We start from the raw sequence: 23,692 nt of genomic DNA, 5'->3' as shown, positions 1-23,692 counted from the left end.
TGGTAAGGGCTGCTGTTGGCTGGAGGTGACAGACCAGGAACTGAGGTCACCCCAGCTCTGGCTGCCCTGATGTTTGAAGGGATCAGTATCCTCACTAGGACCCATGATCTTGGCACACTGTTTTAGAAACTCTGCCTAAAGTACCAGCAGAGACATGAAAGTACTACTTTAGCCTTAGAGTAAATGTTTTCAGTACAGATGTCAAGGATAAACTCTTGAGGTTAAGGAATACGTCTTTGTAATTTCTCTCCCTCTCTCTCTTGGCTTCTCTCTCTTTACCTAGTATATTAAATAGAAAAAAAAAATCTTGGATTTACAATCTCATCTTTACATTGATGAGGACACTATGAAGTCATGGCGGGGGTCAGCAGGAAGGGATGGAGAAAGACAGAAACAGGAAGTGGAAGACAGATGGAGAGAGAAATTGCGTTTCACCAGTAATATTCAGAATCACTCACCCATGGATCGCAAACCATTGAAAATTTGCCTGAAACAGTCCAGCCTTAAATAATGTTCTGGGGCCGGGCACGGTGGTTCACGCCTGTAATCCCAGCACTTTGGGAGGCTGAGGCGGGCGGATCACGAGGTCAGGAGATCGAGACCATCCTGGCTAACGTGGTGAAACCCTGTCTGTACTAAAAAATACAAAAAAATTAGCCGGGTGTGGTGGTGGGCGCCTGTAATCCCAGCTACTCAGGAGGCTGAGGAAGGAGAATGGCATGAACCCGGGAGGCGGAGCTTGCAGTGAGCTGAGATTGCGCCACTGCACTCCAGCCTGGGCGACAGAGCGAGACTCCAACTCAAAATAATTAATAATAATAATAATAATAATGTTCTGGGTACTCTTAATACAATTCCAGTATCTAAATTCATTATGAAATTAGGTAACAACATGAAACAATATATAAAGTAGGGTTTTCGGAGTCAATGAGACCTGGATATGAATCTCAGCTATGCCGGCTGTTGGTTCTGTGACCATGGGGGTTGTCGAAGCTTTCTGTACAGTGGGAATAAAAATATCAACCTTTTGATGCCATTCTATTAATTGAGTGAGATAAGGCCTGTGAAAGTATGAAGCGCATACATTTAATTGGCTGCTCAACCCACTTTAATTCTCTGCACGGTAGCTTTGTTCCAATATCGTCTCATGCTGTGGCACCAGCTCACAGTGAATTTCTCTGAGCACTTTGGAATTGCCATAGTCCTTAAAATGGTGTCCAGAACAGATCCATCTCACCATGAATTTTATGGTTTAACAATCAGTGTTTAATAAAGTTCAATTTGACGGTGTAAGAGGCCAGGAGGTAAAGGTGTTATATTTGTAAATGCGGGCAAAACATGCATCTGTTCATTCAGTGTATTCATACAGTAACCCCTGAAAGGGCTCTCCAGGAGTTATTGCCTCTCACGATAGTGCTGTGAAGTGGGTATGCTTAGTTCCATGTTACAGAATGAGAAACTGAGGCTGGGAGATTAAAGTGTCCAAAGTGACTCTGCTAGTAAGCTAGGATTACAGGTCAGTTTTTTTTTTTGTTTTTTTTTTTTTTTTTTTGAGATGTAGTTTTGCTCTTGTTGCCCAGGCTGGAGTGCAATGGCACGATCTTAGCTCACTGCAACCTCAGCCTCCTGGGTTCAAGCGATTCTCCTGCCTCAGCCTCCCAAGTAGCTGGGATTACAAGTGCCTGCCACCACGCCCTGCTAATTTTTTTGTATTTTTAGTAGAGACGGGGTTTCACTACGTTGGCCAGGTTGGCCTCGAACTCCTGACCTCAGGTGATCCACCTGCCTCGGCCTCTCAAAGTGTTGAGATTACAAGTGTGAGCCACTGTGCCCAGCCACAAATCAGTTCTTTGTGACTCCAACCCTCCCCCATCCCCATTTCTCAGGTTTATGGACACACAATTTGAATACAACGAAATAATGAGATGATCCTTGCATTTTATTGTAAATGTGAATGACAGTATCTGGGAGTCAGGTGATGTCTTACCCCATGCATGCTCTTTGGATATGATCGATACTTAACCTGAAAGTTGAGCATCTAATACAATGTTTTGGTGTGAGTTGAAATGGAGCTCTAGGGCAATAAGGAAGAAGAATAAGGTTAACAACATCACTCAACCATCACCACGATTGTTTTTGTCCACAAACGTTTTTGCTGTTGTTTTTTGAGACAGAGTCTCACTCTGTCACCCAGGCTGGAGTGCGGTGGCACGATCTCAGCTCACTGCAAGCTCCGCCTCCCAGGTTCAAGCCATTCTCCTGCCTCAGCCTCCCGAGTAGCTGGGACCACAGGCCACCACGCCACCATGCCTGGCTAATTTTTTGCATTTTTAGTAGAGACGGGGTTTTGCCGTGTTAGCCGGGATGGTCTCGATCTCCTGACCTCGTGATCCGCCCGCCTCGGCCTCCCAAAGTGCTGGGATTACAGGTGTGAGCCACTACGGCCGGCAAAATTTATTTTATAATTTTTTTTTTTAGAGACAGGGTCTCTGGGTGTGGCTGCACGCCTGTAATCCCATCACTTTGGGAGGCTGAGGCGGGCAGATCACCTGAGGTCAGGAGTTTGAGACCAGCCTGGCCAATATGGTGAAACCCCATCTCTACTAAAAATAGAAAAATTAGCCAGGCATAGTGGTGCATGCCTGTAGTCCCAGCTACTCAGGAGGCTGAGGCAGGAGAATTGCTTGAACTCGGGAGGTAGAGGTTGCAGTCAACCGAGATTGTGCCACTGCACTCCAGCCTGGGTGACAGAGTGAGACTCCATCTCAAAAAAAAAAAAAAAAAGAGAGACAGGGTCTCATTTTATCACCTGGCTGGAGTGCAGTGGTGAGATCATAGCTCACTGGAGCCCTGAATGTCTGTGCTCAGTTCTCCCACCTCAGCCTCACAAATAGCTAGGACCACAGGCATGCACCACCATGCCTGGCTAATTTTTAATTTTTAATTAATTAATTAATTAATTTTATTTATTTATTTTTTTTTAGCAATGGGGTCTCGCCATGTTGCCCAGGCTGGTCTTCAACTTCTGGCCTCAAGCGATTCTCCTGTCTTGGCTTCCTGGCATGCTGGGATCATGGGCATGGGTCACTGTGCCCAGCCCCACAAATTTATTTAATGTAAGTTTTATGAAACACAGTAGCTTTCAGAAATGAAAAGCCAAAGGAACAGGGAAACCTGTGTATTTGTGTGCTTAGGTTTGGTGAAGAGAGGATGGTTGTAGAGAAATGTGATTGGACGACGTGGGTTGACTCTAACGGTGACAAACTGGGGGTGTCTAGCAGATCCTGTTTGTTCAGATTCTTCTCTGTGCTCCTACGTCGATAAGGAAGCTCCTTTCCTCCAGGTGTAGGGAGAGCACCTCTGGAGTGAAGGTCTTATGATCTGCTTCAGCAGGGAGGGCAAGGGGAAAGAGAGAGTGACCTTTCTGCCTCTGATGTGCCAAGGTGCCATATTGTGTGATAGCGTGTCCTGAACCCCATCATTACCAAGGAGAAGTGGGACAATATGTATGCCGGAATCTTATGAGCTTCTTCCTTCTTGAACCATGGCTGGTTTTCAACCTATAGTGATTGAAAACCTTCCTAGTGCTCTCTTTTACTTCACCAAACCTCCAACCTTCAACTCCTCTGACTTCTCCTTCTGTCCGGCTGCGCCGGCACGTGCTCCTCTTCTCCACATAGGCAGCAATTTGTGGTCTTTGTTCACAACAGATTCTCCTTCCCTGGCATCCCTGAAGACCTAAAGGCTGGAATTCCAACCTGCCCAGGGATCATTTCCTCTGGACATTTCCTAGGAATTTTCTTTTGTAAGCCCTGGAAGCATACAATATATTTTAGAAAAATTCCATTTTGTCAGGGCGTGATGGCTCACGCCTGTAATCCTAGCACTTTGGGAGGCCAAGGTGGGCAGATCACCTGAGGTCAGGCGTTTGAGACCAGCCTGACCAACATGGAGAAACCCTGTCTCTACTAAGAATACAAAATTAGCTGGGCGTAGTGGTGCACTCCTGTAATCCTAGCTACTTGGGAGGCTGAGGCAGGAAAATCACTTGAACCCGGGAGGCGGAGGTTGCGGTGAGCCAAGATCGTGCCATTGCACTCCAGCCTGGGCAACAAGAGCGAAATTCCGTCTCAAAAAAAAAAAATCCATTTCAAATGAATTACAAATTTAAAAAGAATACTTCTCTAGGCTGGGCGTGATGGCTCATGCCTGTAATCCCAGCACTTTGGGAGGCCAAGGTGGGCAGATCACCTGAGGTCAGAAGTTCAAGACCAGCTTGACCAACATGGTGAAACTCCATCTCTACTAAAAATACAAAAATTAGCTGGGCATGGTGGTGTGCGCCTGTAATCCCAGCTACTCGGAAGACTGAGGCAGGAGAATCGCTTGAACCTGGGAGGCGGAAGTTGCAGGGAGGCAGAAGTTGCAGTGAGCCAAGATTGTGCCACTGCACTCTAGCTTGGGTGACACAGCAAGATTCAGTCTCAAGTAAAAAAAGAACACTTCTCTATCATAGGCTGGGACATATTAGGCATGTCCCTTAGCTCGTCTATTCCTCCAGTTTTAAGGTGAGACAACAATATGGATCTCACAGGGTTATTGAAGGATTAAATGAGGTGGTCACCGTAGAGCTCTTCTTGTAGTATCAGGCCCCAGAAACTGCTCAAAAAACAGTATTTTATTTATTTATCTAGTTTTGAGATAGGGCCTCCTTCTTTCACCCATGCTGGAGTGCAGTGGCACGACCACAGCTCACTGTAGTCTCTGAGTTCCTGGACTCAAGTGATCCTCCTGCCTCAGCCTTCCAAGTGGCTGGGAGGACAGGTGCACGCCACCATGCCCAATTAATTTTTTCTATTTTTTGTAGAGACAGGGGTCTTACTGTGTTGCCCAGGCTGATCTCAAATTCCTGGGCTCAAGTGATCCTCCCGCCTCAGCCTTCTGAAGTGCTGGGATTACATGTGTGAACCACTGCACCTGGCCAGAGCACAGTATTTGTTATTAGTGAAGTAATATTTAATCATAGCCGGGCTTGGTGGCAGGTGCCTGTAATCACAGCTACTCGGGAGGCTGAGGCAGGATAATTGCTTGAATCCGGGAGATGGAGGTTGCAGTGAGCCGAGATCATGCCGCTGCATTCCAGCCTGGGTAACAAGAGTGAAACTCCATCTCAAAAACAACAACAACAACAAAACAAACAAAAAAACGTAAGCAGAGAAAGTAATTCAGAAGAGGAGACTGGACATTTTCTCTTGCTACAAAATACTTGGATCTAAGTATCTGAAATGATAATTTTTCATTATGTACCTCTCCCTGGAGCCTAGCTGTACGTGTCTTAAATTTGTGCTGAAGAAAGGACGCGGAAGAGTTAAACAGAGATACAATTTTTACCGTGTTTTGGAGGTTTTCCTCTTTGTTTAACATCAAAGCAGTCTGTAGTCCCTTTTGCCAGTTTATACATATTGTTGTACTCAAAGAAGGGCTGAAGGAGCTGAGCGGGCTGCTTGATTAGCTGTGACTCCCTTCCAGCCTGGCTTAAGAGACCAAATGGATTCTACCTCTTTAAGGTTTTAATGATAAGGAGGGGAATAAGAGGCTCCCTCCCTTTTCGAATGTAACTTTGTTGAGGCCCCGATAATAAATCATTTGTTCCCTCTAAATGCACTCTGGCATTCACACAGGCACACACTCTGATGGTTCCCACTTGAAATTGCTCATCAAGTGCAAATAGCTCCCAGCCTGGATGGCTGAGCTGCTCTCCAGCCTCCTCTCTCTGGAGTAAGAAGATTTCAGCTTGTGACCTGCCCTCGGGACTTGTGGGTGTACAAAGCCTGTGACCCAGGAAACAAAGTCAACGGCTCACTTTGTCCCCACCCCACCCTACCCCGTCTCCCTCCTACTAAATGCTGAATCTCACGAGAGAAGAAAACCAGCCACATAAAGGATTTGAAAGCTCAACTTGCTTTCCCACTCTGTTATCCCTGGAGTTGGCTTGGATTCACCCTGAAGCCTTCCCCCTCCCGGGGAAAGTTGCTTCACGTTGCAGCTCAGCAGGTTTGTCCAGCTACATAGGCTCCAGAAAACAAGAAGCAAGACTGGAAAGCTGGGGATGATTGTACGCCCTCGCCTGAATCTTACGTGGTTCCTCCTTCTTCCACCTGGCCAGTGCAGAGCCGTGGGTGCCACGTGGCCACTTCTGGATTGGGTTCCCCTTGGCCTGCCACCCTGTCCTTCTGCTTTCCCACTTTGCCAGCCAGAGTCAATTTGAGGACGCCAAGTTCTCCTCTCCATACAGGTGTGCAGCTGGGATAACCAATGATTAATGCATGTGTCTGGCAGGGCCTTCAGGGTAATTTGATTTGCTTGATATCTAGAGTGATCACCCCTCGTTCCATTCTCCTCCCTTTCTTTTCCTGAGTTTGTGGCAGTGTTTACCTTAGTTGGCGGTTTAAGTTGATGAATGACACTTGTTTCTGGTGTTTGTTTCTGCCCAAGTTTTAATTAAATTTTGCAAGAGGCTTCTGCAATTATGGCTCTAGGTCTCTCTCTCCCTCATCTTACCTCTGAAAAGTTATTGAGCATTCAGAACTTTTCCCAGTTTTCCTTTCTCTCCTCCTCACCGTCAAACTCCCGTGCTGATGGGCCGGCAGGAGGCCGCCATCACTGCAGCCATTACTCCTGGGTTTTATGGCCCGTGATGGCAAAAGCCACATCCTGCCCCTGACAGAATCCATTAGGCTGAGGAGGGAACAGACTCCCAGAAAGCAGAGCTTTTCTGCTGGAGGAGAGCTGTATTATGCCGTAGCTAATGGGACATTTGCAAAATAACCTTTCTAAGTAGATCCTGTAGGCACTCTCAAGGGGCTCTGATTCTATAAGGGAAGAGGTAGAAGCTGTGTTTGCTTGCTTTCCCTTTCTTGCTTTTTTGCTTTCTTGCTTTTTCTCAGTTTCTTGCTTTCTTGCTTTTTCTCTCTTTCTTGCTTTGTTGCTTTTAAGCTTTTGGAGGAGAAAGCAGCCTCTGTATGTTCCAACTGAAAGAATGCCCACACGGCTGAGACAGCAAGAGCAGTGGATTAATGGACTAGGAAATAGATGAACTAAACCAACCCTGGGTTACAATCTGCCTGCAAAGTTGAGATAACATTAGAACAAGTGTATCTGGTTCAATTTATGGTGGGACCACAGTTAGTTCCAAGAAGTAAATGGAACATGCTTCTGAGGTTGCAAAAATTGAATTGGCTAAGTTTCTTCAGGTACATTACCCACCTCCTTTTGTTTTGGTTTGCTTAACGTACTTTTAGAAAACTCATAAGAAAGGTATTCTGTATTAAAAGAGGAGAAAAACGTTTTATTCTTAAGAAAAATTTCGGCTGGGCATGGTGGCTCACGCCTGTAATCCCAGCACTTTGAGAGGCCAAGGTGGGCGATCGCCTGAGGTCAGGAGTTCGAGACCAGCCTGGCCAACGTGGCAAAGCCCTGTCTCTACTAAAAATACAAAAAATTAGCTGGGCATGGTGGTGGGCACCTGTAGTCCTGGCTACTTGGGAGGCTGGGGCAGGGAGAATCGCTTGAACCCAGGAAGTGGAGGTTGCATTGAGCTAAGATCGTGCCATTGTACTCCAGCCTGGGGACAAGAGCGAGACTCCATCTCAAAAAAAAAAAAAAAAAAAAAAAAAGAAAGAAAAATTTCAACACTGGGTGCCGTGGCTCATGCCTGTAATCCCAGCAATTTGGGAGGCCAAGGCAGGCAGATCACCTGAGGCCAGGAATTTGAGACTGGCCTGGCCAACATGGTGAAACCCTGTCTCTACTAAAAATACAAAAATTAGTCCAGTGTGGTGGTGTGCGCCTGTAGTCCCAACTACCTGGGAGGCTGAGACATGAGAATCTCTTGAACCCCGGAGGCAGGGGTTGCAGTGAGCCAAGATCGTACCACTGGACTTCAGAGTGAGACTCTCTCTCAAAAAAAAAAAAGAAAAGAAAAAAAAGAAAAAGAAAAGTTTCGGTTCCTAGTGGGTAAAGGAAAGACCTAGAAATATTTTTATGGTTTCAACATAGATTTACTAAGACATTGCTGGATGTTGTCAGGATACAAGCGACTTAAGATGTAGTCCTTGCCTGCCCTAATATAGCTTCAAAACTCTGCCAGGGACAAGACTAACACATTTAAAATAGCTGAATAGAGGCAACCTGGTGTTAAAGAAAGAGAATAAAGTAGAAATGGGTTTGTGGCTTCTATTCCTTCCCCTGCCATTAATGAGTGCTGGGACCTTGGGCCAGTAATCGCTCAGGCCTGGTTTCCTCGCCTCAAATTAAGGGTGTTGAACAAAATAATCTCTTAAAGTTCCTTAGAGCTTTAATCTTCAGAATCTAATTAACAACATAGGTAGATCTGTTGTATAACCAAGCAATAAAGGGACTGGTACAGAGGATGAATGCTGTGAGACAGGATTCAGAAAGGACATGCATCCCTATGAATGGGAATGGCTTCACGGAGGAGCATGGAGGAACACGGAGGAGCCAGGGCTCAGGTTGGACTTTGAAAGGTGAGCAAGAGATCCAGTAAAGAGTAATTGCGAGGTGTCTTTGGAGAACAGGAAATTGGCTAAACCGTTGGAGCAGTTTGTAGAGGGGCTAGAGAGAGGGAAGGTAGGAAGTTAGACTGAGGCCTAATTGGAGGGGGTCTTGAATTCTATCCTAAGGAGTTAGAACTTGAGCTTGTTTATTGTCTCTAGGAATTGGCTAATCCTGGGAGGAGTAGTCCCTTCAGAGTCAGCAAGGCCCCAGATCTCAAAGCATCAAGATACAAAAAGTAAAACACACGGTTAGTACAGTAATATCTCTGGTCCCACATTGCCAGAACCTTGCTACTCCCTCATCAAGAGTTCGGCTGGGTGCAGTGGCTCATGCCTGCAGTCCCAGCACTTTGGGAGGCCAAGGCTGGTGGATCGCCTGAAGTCAGGAGTTCGAGCCCAGCCTGGACGACATGGTGAAACTCCATCTCTACTAAAAAAATACAAAACTTAGCTGGGCATGAGGACGGACGCCTGTAATCTCAGCTACTCGGGAGGCAGAGGCAGGAGAATGGTTTGAACCCAGGAGGTAGAGGTTGCAGTGAGCCGAGATCATGCCCCTATACTCTAGCCTGGGCAACAGAGTGAGACGCTGTCTGAAAAAAGAAAAAAAAAAAAGAGTTGGAGTTTATTTCCTCTTACTGTGAACTTGGGAGGACCTTTGGGACTTCCTTGATGAATAGATAGTAGAGGAAGTAACACCAGGTGGCTTCTGAGACCAGGTCATAAAAGGTGATATGGCTTGTTCTTGGCTCTTTTTCTGTTCGGACATTTGCCCTTGGAGCTCAGCCATCATGTCACGAGAGAGCCCAGGATACACGAAGAGGCTGTGTGTCTGTGTTCTGGCCAGGAGCCCCAGCTAAGGTCTCAATTGATAGCCTGCATCAAGCACCAGGCATGTGAGTGAATATGGCTTTAGATCCATTCCCCAGCCTTTGAGCCACTTGGGCTGTTACCATCTAGAGCAAAGAAAAGTCATTCTCACAGAGCCTGCCCAAACTGTTGATTCTTGAGCAAAATAAAAGGTATGGTTGTTTTAAGCCACTACTCTTGGGGTGGTCTGTTACACAGCAGTAGATAACCAGGACACAGTATGATAAGATGATGCTGGCGGCAAGATGGAGGCATGGGGATGGGTGGAGGAGCAGCACGGGATGTTTTGGGTACATGTGGGAACATGGGGGTTAGTGATATGTTTGGAGACAGGTCAGAAAAGCCATCCCAGATATAATAAAAGCCCAATTTTAAGAGCTTACTTTGTGCCCAGGCAGTGTTGTAAGCACTTTATGTGTATTAACTCATTGAATTCTCACAACGATCCTACTATGGACATACTATTCCTACTTAAGATGAGGAAACGAAGCTCAGAGGCACTCAGGAACACAGAGAGTGTAGAACTGGGAATGCAGTCAGGCAGCCTGACTTCCGAGCTCATCCTTTTAACTGCTAAATTTTGGTTTATTTATTTATTTAGAGACGAAGTTTCGCTCTTGTTGCCCAGGCTGGAGTGCAATGGCACGATCTCAGCTCAATGCAACCTCTGGCTCCCGGGTTCAAGTGATTCTCCTGTCTCAGCGTCCCAAGTAGCTGGGATTACAGGTGCGTGCCACCACACTCGGCTGATTTTTGTGTTTTTAGTAGAGATAGGATTACATCATATTGGTCAGACTGGTCTTGAACTCCTGACCTCAGGCGATCCACCCACCTTGGCCTCCCAAAGTGCTGGGATTACAGGCGTGAGCCACTGTGCCCAGCTATTTATTTTTATTTTATTTTATTATTTTTTTTGAGACAGAGTCTTGCTCTGTCGCCAGGCTGGAGTGCAGTGATGTGATCTTGGCTTGCTGCAACCTCTGACTCCCTGGTTCAAGCAATTCTCCTGCCTCAGCCTCCTGAGTAGCTGGGATTACAGGCATGCGCCACCACGCCCAGCTAAGTTTTGTATTTTCAGTAAAGACGGGGTTTCACCATGTTGGCCAGGATAGTCTTGATTTCTTGACCCCGTGGTCCACCCACCTCAGCCTCCCAAAGTACTGGGATTACAGGCATGAGCCACTGTGCCCAGCCTTTGCTGGTTTATTAATTCTTTATCACATAAATAACAGGGACCATTCATTTGCCCATTCATCAAACATTTATTGAGGGCCTATTTGGTGCTGAGTGATGATGAGCGGGCTGATTTTGAAGAATGAGGAAGGTCTAGAAAGTATGTATGAGAATGCTAATGTTCTCAGAAAAGAGAGAAAGACATGAGAGACTTGGCACATTTTATTTTAATAATTTTTTTTTTTTTTGAGACAAGGTCTTTCTCTCACCCAGGCTGGGGTGCAGTGGCATGATCCCAGCTCACTGAATCCTTGACTTCGACCTGTAGTTCCCAAGTAGCTGAGACAACAGGCACGTACCACCACACCTGACTAATTTTTGTATTTTCTGTACAGGCGGAGTTTCGCCATGTTGCCCAGACTGGTCTTGAACTTCTGGGCTCGGGCAATCTGCCCGCCTCAGCCTCCCAAAGTGCTGGGATTGCAGACTTGGGCCACCACACTCAGCCAATCATTTTATTTTGAAATAATGGTAGAGTCACAGGAAGTTGTAAAAAAAATATATATATATACAGGGAGGTGCTAGGCACCCATCCTCCATCCTCTCCCAATGTGGCATCTTGCATAACTACGTTACAACATCAATACCATGAAACAGACATTGTTAACTACCACTGTGGTCAAGGTGCAGAACTGTTGGTCACCACATGCCCGGCATGTTGAGTGTGACTGCAACATGGAGTTGGTGGAGTAATGATGAACTGGCAGGAGAAGCAAACTGGAGTGCCTTCCTTCTTTCCTTCCTTCTTTCTTTTTTCTTTCTTTCTTTCTTTCTTTCTTTCTTTCTTTCTTTCTTTCTTTCTTTCTTTCTTTCTTTCTCTCTCTCCTTTCTTTCTTTCTTTCTTTCTTTCTTTCTTTCTTTCTTTCTTTCTTTCTTTCTTTCCTTCTTTCTTTCTTTCTTTCTTTTCTTTCTTTCTTTTTTTGAGATGGAGTCTCGCTGGAGTGCAGTGGTGCCATCTCGGCTCACTGCAATCTCCGCCTCCTGGGTTCAAGCAATTCTCCTGCCTCAGCCTCCCGAGTAGCTGGGACTACAGTCGCAAGCCCGGCTAATTTTTTTTTTTTTTGTATTTTAGTAGAGACAGTGCTTCACCATGTTGTTCAGGCTGGTCTCAAACTCCAGAGCTCAGGCAATCCACCCGGCTCAGCCTCCCAGAGTGCTAGGATTACAGGCATGAGCCACCGTGCCCAGCCGGGAGTGCTTTCTTACATTAGGGGGCTTGAGATTTTTTTTTTAAGATAGGGTCTTGCTTTGTTCCCCAGGTCAGTGGCATGATCATGGTTCACTGCAGGCTTGAACTCCTGGGCTCAAGCAATCCTCCCGCCTTGGCCTCCCAATGTGTCATTGGTATTGCAGGCAGGAGCCACTGTGCTTGGCCAGAGGGCTTGAATTTTGAATTTTGTACTAAAGGTTTTAAACTAGGCTTGTCCAATCCACAGCGCGCAGGCCACATATGGCCCAGGATGGCTTTGAATGGGGCCCAACACAAATTCGTAAATTTTCTTAAAACGTTATGAAATTTTGTTGCAGTTTTTTTTTAAGCTCATCAGCTATCATTAGTGTATTTTATGTGTGGCCCAAGACAATTCTTCTTCCAGTATGGTCCAGGGAAGCCAAAAGATTGGACACGTCTGTATTTAAACAGTGATAAGGGTAAAAATGGAAATACCTTTAGAGAGAGGCAGTGGAGTGTCTTACATCCACCTTGAGGCTTAAATGACTTCTGTCAGAACCTTTCCTAAGAGTTGGCCGGGCATGGTGGCTCACATCTATAATCCCAGCACTTCGGGAGGCTGAGGCGGGTAGATCACTTGAGGTCAGGAGTTCAAGACCAACCTGTCCAACATGGCGAAACCCCATCTCTACAAAAAATATAAAAATTAACTGGGCGTTGTGGCGCAAGCCTGTAATCCCAGCTACTCGGGAGGCTGAGGCAGGACAGTCACTTGAACCCTGGAGGCAGAGGTTGCAGCGAGCAGAGATCGCGCCATTGCACTCCAGCCTGGGGGATAGATTGAGACTCTGTCTCTAAATAAAGAAATAAATAAAAATAAAACCTTTCGGCCAGGCACGGTGGCTCATGCGTGTAATCCCAGCACTTTGGGAGGCTGAGACGGGCAGATCACCTGAGGTCAGGAGTTTGACACCAGCTTGACCAACATGGAGAAACCCTATCTCTACTAAAAATACAAAATTAGCCAGGTGTGGTGGCACATGCCTGTAATCCCAGCTACTCGGGAGGCTCAGGCAGGAGAATCGCTTGAACCTGGGAGGTGGAGGTTGCAGTGAGCCGAGATCGCGCCATTACACTCTAGCCTGGGCAACCAGATCGAAACTCCGTCTCAAAAGAAAAATAAATAAAAATTAAAAATAAAAATAGAACCTTTCCTAAGAGAAGGAGCTGAGAGGGAAGAGAGTGGACAGTGGGTGTCTGTGTATGGACATAGGTGGCGTGAGGGTAGGGTGATGGCCACCCTGACCTATGGCTGGCCCTTTGCCAAGCTCCCCCTGCCCCTTGTGCTTGGTAACTCTCTCTCTCTGGAGCTGCCCTCTGATCACCAACTTGCTGGCTTTGCCAATTCCTTCACTCCACGATTCTCTGGCCCATGTGACACCAGGAACAACCGCAAAGGATTATTGTGTTTTGGGTTTTTACATAAATATGGAATGAAATATGGAGACCTTTACAGTTTGTCTAATTTCCTTCCTGTCGCCAAAGCAAAGTGTTATGAACAGTAAGTCATTTTGCAGTTGCTACAGCTGCTACTGAATATAGATTGGAAAAATGATTTGCTTGAGCAAAGTGGTGATCAGATAAATCTTATAAATTTGTCTCTTAAAAAACTGTGTTTGTAGCCAGGCGTGGTGGCTCCTGACTGTAATTGCAGCACTCTGGGAAACTGAGGCTGAAGAATCGCTTGAGACCAGGAGTTCAAGACCAGCCTGGGCAACATGATGAGACCCCCATTGGTACAAAAAGAAAAAATTTAAAAATTAGCCAGGCGTGTTGGCGCATGCCTGTGGTCTTCGCTATTTGGGAAGGTGAGGTGGGAGGATTGCTTGAGCACAGACATTCAAGGCTGCAGTGAGCTATGATCACACCACTGCACTTGAGGCCAGACTTTCTTTTTTTTTTTTTTGAGACGGAGTCTCGCTCTGTCACCCAGGCTGGAGTGCAGTGGCACGATCTCGGCTCACTGCAAGCTCCGCCTCCCGGGTTCATGCCATTCTCCTGCCTCAGCCTCCCGAGTAGCTAGGACTACAGGCTCCCGCCACCACGCCTGGCTAATTTTTTGTATATTTAGTAGAGACGGGGTTTCACCATGTTGGCCAGGATGGTCTCGATCTCTTGACCTCGTGATCCACCCGCCTCGGCCTCCGAAAGTGCTGGGATTACAGGCGTGAGCCACCACGCCAAGCCTAAGGCCAGACTTTCAAGACCAGCCTGAGCGGCATGGCAAGACCATGTCTCTAAATAAATAAATAAATAAATATGTTAGAGAAAGAGAGGGCTGCTGCCTTGTTCTTTGAGGTGGTGAGGTCAGGAGACTACGGCTTCATTTGGAAGGAGCTTGTCAGCTTCTAATCACCAACTTAAGAGAACCGTTGGAATAATAAGAATTTTGAAGGTGTTCAGTTCTTTAGCATCTGATAAAACTCCTCCCCTTTCCATGATCTCACTTAATCCTTGCAAACAGCACTGTGGGGTGCATAGGGTACAGTAGGGGTTGTGTTATCTCCAGTTAATAAATAAAGAGAACAGGAGATAACCTACAACTGTACAGCTGATAAGATGAAGGCATATCTTGCAATTTCTAAATCTACACAGAAGCCTATGCTTTTTGGATGAATATATGTGGTCCAACTGAATTTTAGGTGAGAGTCACTGCTTTGAAAAAAAGCAAGGGAGGCTGGGCTTGGTGGCTAACACCAGTAATCCCAGTACTTTGGGAGACCAAGCGGGGAGGATTGCTTGAGCCCAGGAGTTTGAGACCAGCCTGGGCAACCAAGTGAGACATCATTTCTACAAAAAAATGCAAAAATTAACCGGTTGTGGTGGTGCATGCTCGTGGTCCTAGATACTTGGAAGGCTGAGGTGGGAGGATTGCTTGAGTCCAGGAGGTGGAGGCTGCAGTGAGCCATGTTTGTGCCACTGCACTCCAGCCTGGGTGACAAAGCAAGACCCTGTCTCCAAAAAAAAAAAAAAAAAAAAAAGCAGGAAAAGACAGTTGCCATTTATTTTGTGTTCATTTTGTGTCAGGACAGGGTGGGGTGGCTTACATTTGTTATCTCATTTAAGCAAGACTTAAGAACACCAGAACCCAAAACAAACAAAAGCATTCTCCAGGGCTGGCTTTCAACAAAACACTAAATGAGCACAGTTGATTCTGGTGGCCTGGGGTTCCCTTTGACTAAGTCTTCCTCCTCCCTCTGGGCTGTCTCCCGCTTGCTCCTGGGAGGTAGATGCCCCATTCTTTAATTTTTTTTTTTTTTTTTTTGAGATGGAGTCTCACTCTGTTGCCCAGGCTGGAGTGCAGTGGCATGATCTAGGTTCACTGCAACCTCGACCCCCTGTAAAGCAATTCTCCTGCCTCCCGAGTAGCTGGGATTATAGGCATGCACTACCACGCCCGGCTAATTTTTGTATTTTGAGTAGAGATGGGGGTTTCACCATGTTGGCCAGGCTGGTTTTGAACTCCTGACCTCAAGTGATCCACTTGCCTTGGCCTCCCAAAGTGCTGAGATTACAGGTGTGAGCCACTGTGCTTGGCCAGATGCTGCGTTCTTGCTGCGGTTATTGGGTCAGGGCTGGGGCAAGGATCTAAGTCAGTCATCGTATGTGCCCTGTGGCCTGTGTCTGTCTCCCAGGCTTTTGTAGCCAGTGGTGGACATGGATCTCTGTTACTGCAGCCACTGAAATGTCATGGGCCATTGTCCTCGCAGGTTCACCGGGACCACTGGTCCCCTAAGCAATCTCCACTAGGTATTTCTTTTCCTTTTTTTTTTTTTTTTTGAGATGGAGTTTTGCTCTTGTTGCCCAGGCTGGAGTGCAATGGTGTGATCTCAGCTCACCGCCACTTCCGCCTCCCGGGTTCAAGCGATTCTTCTGCCTCAGCCTCCCGAGTAGCTGCGATTACAAGCATGTGCCACCATGCCCGGCTAATTTTGTATTTTTAGTAGAGACGGGGTTTCTCCATGTTGGTCAGGCTGGTCTCGAACTCCCAACCTCAGGTGATCCACCCGCCTCGGCCTCCCAAAGTGCTGGGATTACAGGCATAAGCCACCGCACCCAATCCTCCATTAGGTATTTCTAAGAAGGCTCATTCTTGTCCTCCAGCCACTACCCACAAGCCTGTCTTTACTCAGTGACAGCTCTGCCTTGTCGCCACTAAGGTGCCAAGGCCCCCGGGTGTCCATGCTTTGCCGCTCTCTGTGGAGAAGGTGGAGGTAGGTACCTGGCCTCCTCCATGCTCTATCCTCTTGTAGGGTGCCCAATCTGGGCAGCTAGTGCCCCTGTGTTTCTTAGAATTTCAGCAAAAAAACCTTTCTCGGCTTCTTACAGAGCTCCTGGTCTCCTTGTAACTTGTAACTCCTGGGCACAGTTACAAGTGCTGAATTCTTGCGAGGATGAACTCAAGATACAAAATATGCTTGGCAACTCACCCCTGAGTGGCCACAGGCACACGCAGGAGTCGAACCCACCCACCTCTGCTGACAGTCATGGGTCAAGCTCAAAGTCCTGGCTGCTTCTCTGCTCAAGGTGGGTTCTTTCACTATAACAGCCCATGAGGAGAGTGTCCATTATTTATCAGCCCCCTGCCCTCCACTTCTATACTAAAATGTGAGTGACTGATAAAAACAAGGCAGCAATTGTTGATTATCAACAGTATGTCAGCCAGTGTGCTGGAAGCTCAATGTATGTTATCTCCTTTTAAGCCCAGGACAACTCTGACACAGCACAATTTAAGTCCGTGGGGTCGGAGGTCAGTAGGAAACAGAATGCTTATTGCCCAGCGTAAGTGACTTCACCTTTCTGCTCCTGAGTCCCTCATTTATAAAATGAGGCAGTTAGATCGGATGTTTTAACAATTCCTTTCTGACTCTAAAATTCACTTCTGTTGCCTTTCTCACAAATATTTGCAACCTAACAAAATTCAAAATGTCAAGCCCCAAAAAGATGGAGCACTGATTGTAGAAATACATACAGATTTATATCTCTATGTCAAGCAGGTTAGTATTCCGAGGCAGGAGTTGTTTAAAATGATCAGTTAAGGTTGTTTTTATTTTTTATTTTTATTTTTGGAGACAGAGTCTCGCTCTATCCCCCAGGGTGGAGTGCAGTGGCACCATCTGGGCTCACTGCAACCTCCGCCTCCCGGGTTCAAGCGATTCTCCTTCCTCAGCCTCCTGAGTAGCTGGGATTACAGGCACCTGCCACCATGCCCGGCTAATTTTTTTTTTTTTTTTTTTTTTTTTTTTTTTTTGATAACGAGTCTCACCCTGTGGCTCAGGCTGGAGTGCAGTGGTGCGATCTCGGCTCACTGCAACCTCTGCCTCCTGGAGTAAAGCAATTCTCCTGCCTCAGCCTTCTGAGTAGCTGGGATTACAGGCGCCCAGCACCACGCCTGGCTAATTTTTGTATTTTCAGTGGAGACGAGGTTTCACCATGTTGGCCAGTCTGGTCTCAAACTCCTGACCTCAGGTGATCCGCCTGCCTCAGCCTCCCGAAGTGCCTGGCAGGTTGTTTTTAAAATTTCAAGTAGGCTCATGCCTGTGACCCCAGCACTTTGGGAGGCTGACGTGGGAAGATCACTTGAGCCCAGGAGTTCTAGAGCAGCCTGGGCAACATGGTGAAACCCCATCTCTACAAAAAATTCAAAAATTATCCAGGTGTGGTGGCACGCACCTGTTGTCCCAGCTACCCAGGAGGCTGAAACAGGAGGATCGCTTGGGCCTGGGAGGTTGAGGGTACAGTGAGCAGCGATTGTACCACTGCACTCCAGGCTGAGTGACAGAGCAAGACCCTGTCTCAAAATAAATAAAATAAAATAAAAAATTAAATTTCAAGTAACGGAAATCTTACTTCAGTCTGGCTTAGAGAATTAAGGGCCATTACTGGTTCCTTTCTGAAAGGTCCACAACTGACTGTGGGCTTCAGGCAGGGCTCTGTGTGTCTACAATTTGCAGACTGCCCCCACCCCCCTCCACCACCTGTGGTTCACCTTTGTTTTCAGCAGGCTTCCTTCCTCTGCAAGATCATCGCCTGCAGCAACTGGGGCTTACCCTGAAAGGGGAGAAAGCGCTGCTCTCCATAATCGGCCAACAGTTTGTACTTGGTCACTGATGGGCTCATCCCTGAAGCAAATACTACAAGTTAATTGGTTTGGGTCTAGATTATTATCCATACATGAACCAATTACTGCGGCAGAGGAGGAGGTAACTTTAAATTGATTGATATATGCCAATTAGGGTCCATCCCTCAGAGCTAGGATAGATTTATTCCTACTCAAGACTGAATGAGGGGTTGGACGCGGTGGCTCATGCATGTAATACAGCACTTTGGGAGGCCCGGGGTGGGTAGATCATTTGAGATCAGGAGTTCGAGACCAGCCTGGCCAACATGGCAAAACCCCGTCTCTACTAAAAAAACAAAAATTAGCTGGGCGTAGTGGCATGTCCCTGTAGTCCCAGCTACTTGAGAGGCTGAGGCAGGAGAATCTCTTGAACCGAGGAGGCAGAGGTTGCAATGAGCTGAGATCATGTCACTGCACTCTAGCCTGGGTGACAGGGTCTCAACAAACAAAAAGAGACTGAATGAAGAAATTCTAGGTAGTGTATCCATCAGGATAGAATAGGTTATGCTGTGGCAATAAACAAATTCAACATCTCAGTGGTTTAAAACCGTATAGACACTTCTAGCTCATCTTTGATGCTGGTCAACAGGAAAGCTCAGTTCATGGTGTCACTCCGGGCACCAGACTGCCAGAGGTTCCGTCTCAATATAAGCTTTCACTATTACTGCATGGCAGGGGAAGAAAGCTGGAGAGACCAGCAGTCAAATGTTTCTACCTGGAAGTGACACACATGAGTTCTGCCCACATTTCATTGGTGCAAGCAAGTGAGACGCCACGCCTGACTTTAAGTGGGGCAGAAAATCAGACCTCTGCATGCCTGGAAGGAGAGGGGAGCTGTATCAGTGACCAGCAATGATGTCTAACACAGCAAGAATGGCTGCTAATCAGCAAATAGTCGTGGCTATGCTTCTGAAATCATTACAAGAGAATGGAGTAGCTCTGGTGAACTGGAAAGACCACTATCTCTGAGTCAGAACATCTAGGATGGAGTGTGATTGAAATTTACTAGCTATGAATCTCTAAGCAAGGAATCTTAAAAAAAAAAAATTTTTTTTTTTAGATAGTGTCTCACTATGTTGCCCAGGTTGGATTCGAACTCCTGTGCTCAAATGATCTTCCCCTACCTCCAGGGTAAGTGCTGGGGCCTCTGCCCTCCCAGACAACCTGATGATACCTCTGTCTCTTAGCAGCTCTGACCCTGCATGCAGTTTTCCCTTATGGTTTTGCTGGAGAAGGGCTTTTGCTAAGCCTCACTGGGATGTGGTGAGGGCTAATTAGATAATGCCTGTGAAGCCCTTGGAGCTCCTTGGAGATGGGCTCTCTCTCTATGTATTATTAATAGTGGTAGAACACAGTGTTTCCAAACTGAGGACCGTGTGGGGAAGGAAGGGCAGTAAAGGGCTGCAGAGGAGACGGTGCCAAAGGAGCCCGTTTTTGGAGAAGGCTGTCAGCCTTCAGCCTTGTCATGTGATCTGGGGGGCTGGGGTAAAGGACAGGGACCGCCATTAAGAAGTAGAAACGTGGGTGTCCCCTCCACAGACAGTACGTGCATGAACAACATGAGTGGGCAAAGGACGGTTCCTGTTAAACCTGTCTGTGGCCCTGATGTGGGAGCCGAGGAGAGACATCAGTTAGGCTGAGTCCCAGCTGGACTGTGCCCTCCCAGGCTTTTTCCAATCTGGGAACTGTGCTGGCTTTTAGGACCACTTCCTGGCCTGGCCAGCATTACCCCCAAGAGAGCTCTCTGCTAACTAGCCAGCTTTTGTTTTCTAAGGGAGGAGGGCAAATGACCACCCTGACTAACCCTCTCCGCCTGTGTGAAGGTTGTTTGGGAAGTGCCTCATGCAAATTTCAGTATCAAATGGCCAAGTCATTAGAGGACTAATTTGGGGGTGTCTAATCCTGTGGGAACAGTTGGGTCTCTCCTCCCACTGTTTCCTGTCACTGGAGGATGTAGCTGGTAGACCTGGCACCTCTGTCCCTGTTGACTGCCCTGTATCTTCTTGGGTGGGTGGGTGGCTGTCCCTCAAAAGATATGTTGAAGTCTGTTATGAACCAAATGTTTGCGTCCCCCCAAAATTCCCACATTGAAGCCTTAACCCCCAGCGTGTTGTAATTTGGAGGTGGGGCCTTTGGGAGATAATTAGGCTTAGATGAGGTCATAAGGGTGCGGCCCTCATGCCGGGAGCAGTGCCCTTGTTTTTGTTTTGTTTTGAGATGGAGTTTCACTCTGTCACCCAGGCTGGAGTGCAGTGGTGCGATCTTGGCTCATTGTAACCTTCTCCTCCCGGGTCCAAGCGATTCTCCTGCCTCAGCCTCCCGAGTAGCTGGGATTACAGGCGCCCGCCACCACACCCAGCTAATTTTTGCACTTTTAGTAGAGATGGGATTTCCCCATGTTGGCCAGGCTGGTCTTGAACTCCTGACCTCGAGTAATCCTTCCACCTCAGCCTCCCAAAGTGCTGGGATTACAGGCGTGAGCCACTGAGCCTGGCCAGAGCAGTGCTCTTGTAAGAAGAGACGTCTGAGCATTCTTTCTCATGCTCTCTTGCTCTCTCTGAAATTGACCCTGCTGACACCTTGATCTTAGGCTTCCCAGCCTCCAGAACTGTGAGAAAACAAACTTCTGTTGTTTAAACCACCTGGCCTATGGTATTTTGTTATGGCAGCCTGAGCAGACTAAGACATAGTCTTGACCCCCAGTAACTCAGAATGTGACCTTATTTGGAAATAGGGTTGTTGCAGTAGTAATCAGGTAAGATGAAGTCATACTAATGTGGATGGGTCCCCTAGTCCAAAGCATCTGGTGTCCTTATAAGAAGAGACATGGGAAGGGATGGGCACAGAGGGAAGACAATGTGAAAACACACAAGGAGAAGGCCGTGTGACAACAGAGACAGAGCTGGGAGCCACGTGTCACAAGCCAGGCACGGTGAAGGATGGCCAGCAACACCAGGGGGCAAGGGAAAGGCATGGAGCAGGGGTCCCCAAGCCCTGGTCCATGGCCTATTAGGAACTGGGCCACACAGCAGGAGGTGAGCGGCGGGCGGTGGAGCGAAGCTTCATCTGTATTTACAGCTGCTCCCCATGGCCCATGTTACCGCCTGAGCTCTACCTCCTGTCAGATCAGTGGCAGCACTGGGTACTCTATGAGTGTGAACCCTATTGTGAACGGTGCATGTGAGGGATCTAGGTTGCGTGTTCCTTATGAGAATCTAATGCCTGATGACCTGTCACTGTCTCTCACCCCCACCAGATGGGACCATCTAGTTGCAGGAAAACAAGCTCAGGGCTCCCACTGATTCTACATTATGATGAGTCATATAATTATTTCATTATATATTATATTACAACGTAATAATAATAGAAATAACGTGCACAATAAATGTAATGTGCTTCAATCCTCCTGAAACGACCCCCACCCTCCATCTGTGGAAAAATTATCTCCCACAAAACTGGTCGCTGGTGCCAAAAAGGTTGGGGACCGCCGGCTTAGAGCCTTCAGAACGCGAGGAGCCCTGCCGACACCTTGATTTCCGACTTCTTATTTTCAGAACTGTGATAGAATGATTTCCTATAGCTTTAAAGCACCCAGTTTTGGTACTTTGTTACAGCAGCCCTAGGAAGCTGGCACTCCAGGGTCTGAGGTTTTTCCATTGCCCTTTCGATCAGCCCGCAAACACCTCCATTGATGTAGAAAGCCAGCCAAGCCGTGTAGGCCTCAGCTCTCTTTGTTTCCCTGTTTCGGGAAGTCTGTGCACTTGGGCTCCCAGGTTCTCCCATTGAAGCCAGGCCTTCTGCTGCCAAGTTCTCAGACAAAAATGTTCAAAGGCACAAAAGAGCTTAGAAACCCGGCGGCTCCAGAGCTGTAGGAAAGCACAGCCGTCTTCCTGTTTCGGGAAAGGATAAGTGTTTCTGAATATCAAAAATCACAAGTCGTTATTTTCCCTCGTATATCATCACGTGACATTTTATTATGGGACACCCAAACTCATCACAGGTTAGTCCCATAAATTAGCATGGGGACACGGGCAGGTTTGGTACGAATTAGTGAAAATCCCAACACACTGGATGACCTGGCAGGCTCCGGCATGGAAACATCTTTGCTGTGCCTGTCAGCCACCCTCAGGCCTTGAAGGGTGGACATTAGAAAGCCACTACTGTCCCCCTGCCCCCGTCCCCCAATAATTCCAAATCACAGGGCCTAAAATAGGTATCTTTTAGGCACATAAACCTCAGCTTCTGTTTGTCATGTGTATGAACAAACCCAATAAAATATATCATGTTACCAAAGCCAGTTGTACCATGTTATTTAAACTAGTAATTAAGAGTCTTAAAGCTGGCTTTTCTACAGTCACTGAACCATCAGCATCCCCTGGCTGGTTCTAGGCAGAGAAAGCACAGTGGGGAAATTTGGACCACAGATACCTGGCATTTATCTTAGGTTAGATCATCTTTCAGAATAAGCAGAAACCTTCAGCAACCTCAAGTCTAGACTCAGCCTCTAGAAGGCCTGCTCAAAATAGCGCCTGAGGCTTTGCCTGTGGGGAATGCCCTCCCCAACTGGCATCTTCCCATTGCTGGGAGGGGTTGGTACCATTAACCCAGGAAATAAAGCTTTCTTTGTCAGCGAGCTGCCCAGTTGACTCAGACCAACCAAGGGTTTCTGCTTCCCCGTGTATTTACATTGAAAAAAGATACAGAGGCTGGGTGTGGTGGCTCATGCCTGTAATCCTAGCACTTTGGGAGGCCGAGGTGGGCAAATCACCTGAGGTCAAGAGTTCGAGACCAGCGGGGCCAACATGGTGAAACCCCGCCTCCACTAAAAACATAGAAATTAGCCAGGCATGGTGGTGCGTGCCTGTTATCACAGCTACTCTGGAGGCTGAGGCAGGAGAATTGCTGGAACCCAGGAGGCAGAGGCTGCAGTGAGCTGAGATCATGCCACTGCACTCTAGCCTAGGCAACAGAGTGAGACTCCATCTCAAAAAAAAGAAAAGAGATAGAAACTTGTGTGTAAGTAACTAATGTTTCAATTTGGGTTACTTCTGAAAGCAAAATGGTGCTAAAGATATGGCTTCTGGCTATTAAAAATGTTCTCAGGGGCTGGGCACGGTGGCTCATGCCTATAATCCTCTTAGCACTTTGGGAGGCCAAACCAAACCAGGAGAATTACCCAGTTGGCTGGGGGATGAAAATATGAACTTGACTTTGGGTAGCTTGCTTTGGGACATTCTGGTTTCATTCTGTTTTGTTTTTTTTTTTTTTTTTTTTTCCATGCATTATCTCAGTTAACCCTCACAAAAATCCTAGACTCCAGGATTATTTCTTAGGGTTCGTATGAGACAGCTTATATGTGACCTTTCTAGGGAGACTTTCTGTCACCAGCGTGCCACCAAGATCTGGGAATGAGTCTTACTGGTAGATATTAAGACACTGTGTGTGTCAGGAAACTTGCGTGATTCCCATCACAATCTCGTACTGTGGTTGGTGACTGGGTCTGCTTGTATTTTTCCCCCAGAGACACTCAGTGCCAAGGTATACAATTTGTTCTCGCTACTTTCCTTCTGATTTACCATTTGCAGCTCTGTGGGATTGAACACATTAGGTTCTTTCCAGAAAGCAGGGCATGAAAAGCTGAGAGGAAAATGGGGGAGGCCA

At 47.1% G+C, this 23,692-nt stretch overlaps 1 annotated feature.

The window, feature by feature from the left end:
• Positions 17,846–18,377: an enhancer, noted in NCBI's record as "OCT4-NANOG-H3K27ac-H3K4me1 hESC enhancer chr6:15077925-15078456 (GRCh37/hg19 assembly coordinates)". NCBI's record gives its function as "activates a minimal SCP1, AML or CMV promoter by ChIP-STARR-seq in naive and primed H9 embryonic stem cells {active_cell/tissue: H9 hESC(naive and primed)}" and the evidence as "EXISTENCE:reporter gene assay evidence [ECO:0000049][PMID:30033119]".

This window comes from Homo sapiens, chromosome 6 (genome assembly GCF_000001405.40).
Source record: "Homo sapiens chromosome 6, GRCh38.p14 Primary Assembly".
NCBI lineage: Eukaryota > Metazoa > Chordata > Mammalia > Primates > Hominidae > Homo > Homo sapiens.
Note: the sequence above shows the minus strand (reverse complement) of the source record. Positions and strands in the feature narration are given on the sequence as shown.